The sequence below is a fragment of the Homo sapiens genome, chromosome 4 (assembly GCF_000001405.40).
Source record: "Homo sapiens chromosome 4, GRCh38.p14 Primary Assembly".
In the NCBI taxonomy this organism is placed as follows: domain Eukaryota; kingdom Metazoa; phylum Chordata; class Mammalia; order Primates; family Hominidae; genus Homo; species Homo sapiens.
Window position 1 is genome coordinate 110,786,975 of NC_000004.12, and position 8,460 is coordinate 110,795,434.

An 8,460-nucleotide genomic window follows, 5' to 3' on the forward strand; every position below is an offset into this window, starting at 1 on the left:
TTGCCAGGAATTCAGGGTAAGCTAAGTTCATTTTGGACCTTGTCCAACAAAATTTATTTAGAGTTAATACTAGAGAAGAATCTCACTTGAAAACATTTCACCTATATGTATGCGGTGTCTTGGTAGACAGGGTGCCTGAGGACAGTGGCATAGCAACTTTCCAGTGAGGTAATTTAATTTGTTAAATTAAATAATTAGATTTATTCCTCATGTTGCCTTGGGGTGATGAGGAGGAGTTAAGGACATGGAGAAAAAAGGGCACAGTAAATTTTGGTGGTTATTTTTAAGTCTGATTAATGATGTTTTAACTGCAGGTCATAGATTTAGCCGATGGACTTTCGCAATTCAGGAAAACTGTCAGAGAAGACTCATTCTCACTGAAGGTTCATTTAGGTTGTCAGTAGCAAAGAAAAAGATATTGTACGAAGCTGCCTTGGAGGCACTCGCATAAAAATTATGTTACCATTTATCTATAGTTGCATTGAGTTATTCTTATAAACTGATGATACTACCAACCCAAATTGACAATTCTTGAGAATACACACACACACACGCACATGAAAAGTTTTCATAAAAATGCTGTTTGATAATTTGTGTCCTGTTATCTCTAACAAGTAAACAGGTAAAAATAAAATACCTTCATGCGGTGAAGAAGTATAAACTGAAAAATAGACTCCTATTTTGAAACCTAGAAAAAAGTTGTGCTTTAAACTTTTCTCTGTCAAATGAGAATTGCTTAATTCTTATACTTAAGGAACGTGGGAAATGAAAAGGCAGAATGTATAGTGTTGGTCCTTTGATGGAATTTCTGAGAAAAAACAAACTATTCCAGATGATGACTAAATCACATAGTTTTAAATCTTCTGTAGATTTTTAATGGTTTTTTTTCAAAAACGCATATTGTTCAATATAATAAATATTTGTAGAGTCAGGAAAATGACAAATTCTTTCTTCCTAACAATTTTACAATGAAAAGTAATGGTAGTCCAACTACCGAAAATTCTAAGAAATTTGTGGCTTTCAGTTGTGACTATGACAAAGAAAGTGACTACAGAATGTGTCACATTCCATCAAAGTCACTCAGGGCTTTGTTACTCTTTAAAAATGCTTCTTGGTGGATTCACAAATGTGCAGTATGATACAAAAAAGAAAAAAATCACACCAGTTAGTATCTTTGCTAGAGTTTTGTAGAAATTTAAGATTATGATAATCCCCACCATTCATCCTTTTGAACCACAAAATTATAGAAACTTGATTTATACTCTACAGTATATTTTTTGATGGCTTAAAGTATAGAATGCAACTTATTTATCTGTGATTCTTCTAGAAGGGTAGGGAAGAGAAATCATTTTAAAAAGTGTATCAGAAACCAAGCTGAGAAGAGTTGAGGAGCACATCTGGGCTGGATTCACGTCTATGTAATTCACTGTGAGAATTCCCATTGAATTACACAGGACAATAATTAGACCCAGAGAAACAGATCAGTACTTTTCTAACTTAACATTTTTATCGTCATTTCCCCCACCACACACACTCTTTTAAGTAGTTATTTGCAGGCTTACCAATGATAATTTTTAAGTATTTGAATATGTTAAATTAAATATTCAGTTATGATAGTTAAGTAAATAAAGCTGTTGAGTTCTGTCTTGCATGTACGACTCCCTTTCTGACTTTCATAAACATTCAGAAGACTCCAGCTCATTCAGAGAATTTTCACTAAGAATTTATTTGCTTTTTAAAATACAGAAAAGTCATAAAATAGAAAAAGTTTAGGCAAAGACTTCCCTTTGCCTGCTTGGGTGGATGAATGAATGAACTAGTGCATCACACTGACTGCCTGCTCTGTGTCAGGTTCTACTTGAGGCCCCAGATACTAGCAAGCCCTCCAGGTTCTCACAGTCTAATGAGATGTAGCAATGTAAACAGCTACTTTTTATATGATGTGAAAAAACAGAAGTATTAATGAAATGCTGTGGGAACATAAACTAACTAGGGAGTAGTAATTCTGCCTTGGTGGTACTTGGGTTTTGATTTTGATCAGAGAAAATTAGAACAGGTAATATTTAAGGTAGTTTTGAAGAATGAGTAAAATTTTCCAGAAAGTTTGGGGAATGTAATTCCTGGTAGAGGGAAGCCTGTGAATAAATGCAGTGGCAGGAGCATTCACAGTGTGAGATTCTAACCGGTGTGGACATGTAGAGAGTCAAGTGTGAGGCGATGAAGGGAGTGAGAGAGGAGTAGGTAGCATGGGGACCTGGAAGGTAGGTGGAGGCCAGATGAGGAGGTTCTATCCTCAGCATTTTTTTCCTCTGTCCTCTAGGCTCCTTACCTATTTTGGGTCATGGACCTCTTAGGGCAGTGGTTTGCAAAATTCATTGCGTATTAGAATCACCTACGGAGATTTAAAAAATCGTTCAGAAACCTAGGCCACATCCCATAGAGCCTCTGGGAATGAGATCCAGGACTCAATAATTTAAAAATCTCCAGATGCTTTCAGTGTAAAATAGTGCTTCTCAGAGTGTGGTCCCATGATCAGCAGCATTAGTATCAGCCAAGAACTTGGTAAAAATGCCAATTCCCAGACCAAAATTCAGACCTAGTGAATTTGAAACTATGATGGGGTCCAGCAATCTGTGTTTTAAAAAGCTCTCCAGGAGGTTTTCATGTATGCTAAAGTTTGAGAGTCACTGTCATAGAGAATCTAATGAAGCTGATAGTTTTTCCAGAACATGTACCGCATGTTGAATTTTAAACATAATTCTAGGTGGTAGATGGAAATTCCCTCTGATCCCTTTCCATTTTCTCCCCCAAATCCTGGAATCCAGGTTAAGAATTCTTTCTCTGGGCAGTGAGTGCCACTGACAATATTTCAGTAAAAGAGGGACAGGAGAAACTTTGGTTATAGAATGATGACTGCTGTAATTTAAACAATGAAATGGAATGGGGAGAGGCTGAAGTTAACCACATCATGCAGGAGGTTTTGGGATTATAAAATAAAATAGAACATGGTGACACAGAGGTTGTGTGTGGTGATCGAAAGGGAACAGAAAATGATTCCAAGGTTTCTAACTTGAGCTCAGAGTGAATGAAAACTACTTGGGAGAGGGACTATAAAAAGAGAAGGCTTGGAGGCAAATAATGGTAATTACTGGACATGTATGGGGAGTGCATTAAAAACAGGTCTAGAGCTTAGTTGAGAGATGTAGGTTGTGGATAACTATATAGCCACATATATAAACAGGTAGATGTAGACCATTTCTCATCCTCTGTTGACATTTTGGGTCTGCTAATTCTTCATTTTAGAGGGATATTTTGTGCATTTTAAGCTATTTATTGGCATTCCAGCTCTCTATCCACTAGATGCCAGCAGCCAATACCCTCTGCAGTGATGACAACCAAAAATGTCTTCAGACATTGCCTAATGTCTTTTGGTGGCAAAATCATCCCCCATTGAGAACCACAGGTGTAAATGAAACCTGGCGAGTAGATGAGATTATTATTGACTAAGTGGAGGGCAAGTGGTGAAGGAGGATCCATTAAGTGTTCATAAAGATTGGGAGAAAGTGGCATCAAGACAGCACAAAAAGGCTGAGTTCCCCAAAGAAGGTGGTTGGGTATCAAACACTACCCAGGAGAATAAGAATTGAGAAGAGGCCTTTGGATTTGGTGATCCGGGGATTATTGTGAAACAGATTCAATAGACAGCTATTGAAGAGTGACGTGAAAGTGACACTGCAGGAGGTGGAAGAATAAACAAGAAAAAGTGGAGATTGCGAATCTAGATTACTTCTCTAAGGGATTGGTTAGGAAAAGATAGAAGAGGAGAAAGAGGCAAAAAGAATAGGGAGATTGCTTATTTTAGGACATAAGAGACTAGCAAACATGGTGGACTGATAGGGAAGTGCCAGTGTTTCCAGATAAATATAGAGCTTTAGGCTGGCCCAGAATCTTTTCTTTACTAAGAGCTCAAAATACAGATAATATTAATTATGAAGGAGAGTATGGAAATATAAATTATAGCAGCAACATATTGAATAATTGCAACAAGTATAGGTGTTGCTTATTTCATGTCTATCATCTAACTATTAATTTTTACCAGATAAAACTAGTACATTAGGGAATACATTTAATCTACAATACAGGAAAGTCCTGTTGATATGATTTTGCCTGTGGGCTGGGTGACTGTATTAGTAGTGATGATTTTCTTTTTTCTTTTTTAGCTTCTGTCTTTAATCTTTTCTTTTGCTTCTTCATAACCAGCATGAGTGCAGGGGACACACATACCATTTGGTACAAGCCTTATTTGTCTTGCCTTGGGTCTGGAACCACTTTTGCAGTAACACATTTAGAAAAGAGAAATCAAGAGCAAAAAAGGCTTCAATATAGTTTATTTTTTTTTGCCAGTAACTTTCTTGTTGCACAACTATTATATATGAAATTATTCTTTCTAAACATGTGTGTGTGTGTGTGTGTGTGTGTGCACGTACTCATGTGTTTCAGTTCCCAGGTTCTTTTCATGGCTGCACAACTTAGCTGCAAGGCCTTAGGTGCCTTATTTATTCTTTCCAGATTTCATGTCCATCATCTGCACAATGAGCAGGGGGGAATCTATGTGCTTTGAGGTTGTTTCTGGCTTTAAAATTCTATAATTGTATGATTTTCTTTCTGCATTATCTTTGTTTGGTGAGAGCTTGCCTTAATCTGATCTATTCCAGAGCAAAATCTCTCAGGTTGACTTGAAGCTTTAATTTTTACTCTGGTTTTCACACCTTTTTGTTTATTAGGTCATAAGTAATGAGCTCTGAATGCTTAAGAACCTGTTCAAGTTCACATTAGTAGCTTATCAGGGTTGTAGATAGAGTGAAAACAAATTCGGGCTTTCCTATTTTCTCATTGCAGTATTTAAATCCAGGAGAACATGTTACCTATGAAAATGTAGAATCTTTGCATGTCTGTCTTTTCTTCAAGAGATTACAAAACATTTTCCAAGTGTAATAAATGAATCCTTTCCTTATGAATCCCATTTGTAAACAACTGGATTGATAGGTTCTAAGCACCTTAATAGAGAGTGATGTGTGAGTTTATTTCTACCACTAGATATTGTAACTGTGATAAATGAATCAACTATTTATAATGGTAAGTTGATTCTCCAGAGATTGCATTTAAATTTATTAGTATAATTTGCATTAGCACTCCTAACTTTAAAACTCTTCTTAAATTCCCTCACCCTTGTGACTGATACTCAGTAGGTGGGAAGGATTATCACAGGGGAATGATTGGCTAGACAATGGGTTGTCCTAAATAATATAGTTTTTCTTGGGATAAGAAGTGAACAAAGTTTCTTTTGTCCTGGAAGTTAAATGGGACTTTTTTTTCAATCTAAGATATAAATTGCATTCCTACATTAAGTTATGTGTATGGCAACGAAGGCACTTGCTTATATTTTTAAGGTAATGATTTCATTCTTTGCATGACATTCTGTCCATTGAAATTGAGTAAAATGTTTTGTTATATAAAATTTGTTCCTCACAGCACGCTGACTGTTAGGTGTTATAGTTGTGTAAACTGAGTCCAAGATATTAGCAGGCTTATGTTTACATGGCAAATTCGAAGCAGGATTGCTTTGAGATATAAAAAACGTTCTGAATATATGGGTGTATTATCCACTCATCCTTTGACTATGAGTGGGAAAGGGAAAAGCGGGAGAAAAATAGGAGAGGGGAAATGAAGAAAGGTACACAGCTGAGTAAGGAGGACTAAAGAGGTATTTACACCCACTGAGAAAACAATGATTTAAAGGTGCTAAAAACAAACTGGAGAAGTGTTCCTACTTCAGGATCTGGAGGAAAAGGAAAAGATTTAAATCATTTTAAGCAAACATTTCAAGCAGGACCAGGACTTCAGTGAATACTACTCCAGGGCTAGCTTTTATTATCTTTTCAATTTTATTATTATGACTTATTAGCACTGGCTGGATTCATACTTTTTGGAGAATTATTTAACTGTTTTGTGTCAACATATCTATGTATAAAATCTGGAATAGTCTAAAACTTGGGGGATGGACCAGTATAACCACAGCTTCAGCTCTTCTTCGTTATATAAAAGAGCTGGCAGTACCCTTTTTTTGTTTCTCTTCTCATGGCCTTCTTATTTATCATTTTTTCCTTTCTGCTTTTTAAAAAAATCTAGAATACATTTCTTTATCCAAATTCTGTATTTTCTTCTTAACAGAGCTCCAAACTTACATTCTCCATGAAAACTTTGATGGATAAACCAAATGCATAAATATCTTTGCCTTATTTCTAACCTCTTTGACCCTGATATATTCAGTTCATATCAACAAGTTGTCATTGTCTTCCAGATTGTCTAGTTATGTCATAAATATGTGTTTCAACTCCCCAAGTAGGAACTGATTTTCCTCCTTTTTGTTCATCTCCTATAACATTGAGCACAGTGCTGGGCCCCAAATACTTCCGGAATGAATCATGACAAGCTGAAGACTGTGTAAAGATAAAAAGAAAATCATACTGAAGCTCTTCTGGCAAAAGGTCAGTTGAAATTTATGACAAATGTCAGTAGCTGAAGACGAGATATGGGTGTTGTTCCCAGATATGAAAGGGAGATGACACCAACACAGAGAAATGTGAAGCAATTGTTCTGTATTCTTAACAGTCTGTGTATAATCCTAAATGATACACATGGGTTGGCATAGTGTGCTCAGTTTGATTCCAGGGATATCTCAGGCTTATTTAACAATGCTACCCTTAGAACAACATTAGCATACTAATCTATACTACTGGCCGCGAACCACATTCCTTGGTATCTTTTAACTGGATGGATTGAGACTATTGCCCCAGATAGCCAGGATAATATTTAGCATGGTGGCCTAGGATTTTAAAAGGGCAGTATCAGGGGGGAAAGTCATGGATTTAAATCATTTTTCTTTTCCAGGGTTCTTACCAACAACACACCCAGTAAAAAAAAAAAAAAAAAAAAATCATCTTCTGAAGTTTAAATATCTCTTTCTTTTCTCTTGCTTGTGCTGGATTATCACTCCTGTGCACTTCACTGAGCTTGAAAATTGCAAAAGAAAGACACAGCTTCCCCACCCCCCAGCTCCTAAACTACTCTGTTTATAGTCAGTTTGCCTCCCTGGATCTTATGTTTTAACACATGCTGTAGTGTTCAGATTGCAAACACAGCGAAGGGATGTTTAAATCCTAAAAACAAACTGTTTTCATTGCAATGTGCAAAACAGCATTCCATGAAGACATTTCAATTAATATTAGCTGAGTGAGGGGAGTCCTCTCTCTGTGGCCTGTTCAGTGTTTGGCCTCTCTCTGCTGAGACTGCCAACCAGGGTGCTGCCAATTAATGCCAGCTGTGATCTATTGTTTGCTTCTGACACCTGGGAAGTCCCAGATCATCAGACTCCTGCAAACAGCAGCTGGCTTAGTGGAGGCTGCCAGACTTCGGGGATTCTGAGATCTCTCAGCGAAGGTAGGGGGCCGTCTTGTTTTAGTTAAGGGGATAGTCCGGAATAGCCAGCTTAAAACCCCAGATGACTTACATTAAACAACCCCCAAATTTGGGGAGGATCAGCCCAAGTCTGTAAGCCTCGTATCTTACTCTAGGTTCCCATAGGGCAGTCTTTTAAAAAATAAACAAATGTTCCTAATCCTTTCTTATAAAGTCCCAACAAGTCCCTGTTATGCTGTAAAGGTATTTTCAGGACTCCATACTTCTACAGGAGGTTCTCAATTTGGTCCAATTGTGCTATAATTTAATTTTACACGTGTTGAAAATGTGTATGCCCTTTCTTTGCCTAAAACCCTAGCCTTCTATTACAGTACTCACTCTGATCTTCTTACTGATAAGACCTAAGAGCCAACCTTTACTGAGTGCTTATTATGTGCTAGGCACTGAGCCCTTTACAAGTTTTATCATTTTATTTCATTTATTTTTAATAAGCATGTTTGATCATAGTAATGATGTCAAGTGGATGAAAAGTCAGTTGGGTACAAGGGTTTCTTTTTTTAACCTTCAAATATTATTGTTCTTAAATGATAACCATGTTTTATTCTGACTTGGGCCCGCTTTGAGGAAGAACTTGAGCAAGTTATGCTGCCTGACTGTATTTCACTGTGGTGGGGTTGTTAGATGAGCTGTCTCATTCTTTCTTTTTTGGGGGGTTTTGAGAGAGTTCTGATGTTTTTGCCTAGTCCTCTGGAATTATAAATGTCAGGAAGACAGAAGCTACCTGTCTGTGTCATATTAGTGCCCTTCCTACAATCTGTAAATTCTAATAAGGCCCTGTAGGAATAGCAGAAAATACCATAGACTCTTTCTCCTGAGAGAGACAATGTTGAGACGGGTGGTAACCGGCCCAGTAAGTCTGGCCCAAAAATATGACTAGATCTTCTGTCTCCTGATGCCTTCTTTGCATCCTGAATTCTTTTC

The 8,460-nt window shown here is 37.1% G+C and overlaps 1 annotated feature.

Annotated features, from left to right (window-relative positions):
- Positions 7,148-7,681: an enhancer, noted in NCBI's record as "OCT4-NANOG hESC enhancer chr4:111715278-111715811 (GRCh37/hg19 assembly coordinates)". NCBI's record gives its function as "activates a minimal SCP1, AML or CMV promoter by ChIP-STARR-seq in naive H9 embryonic stem cells {active_cell/tissue: H9 hESC(naive)}" and the evidence as "EXISTENCE:reporter gene assay evidence [ECO:0000049][PMID:30033119]".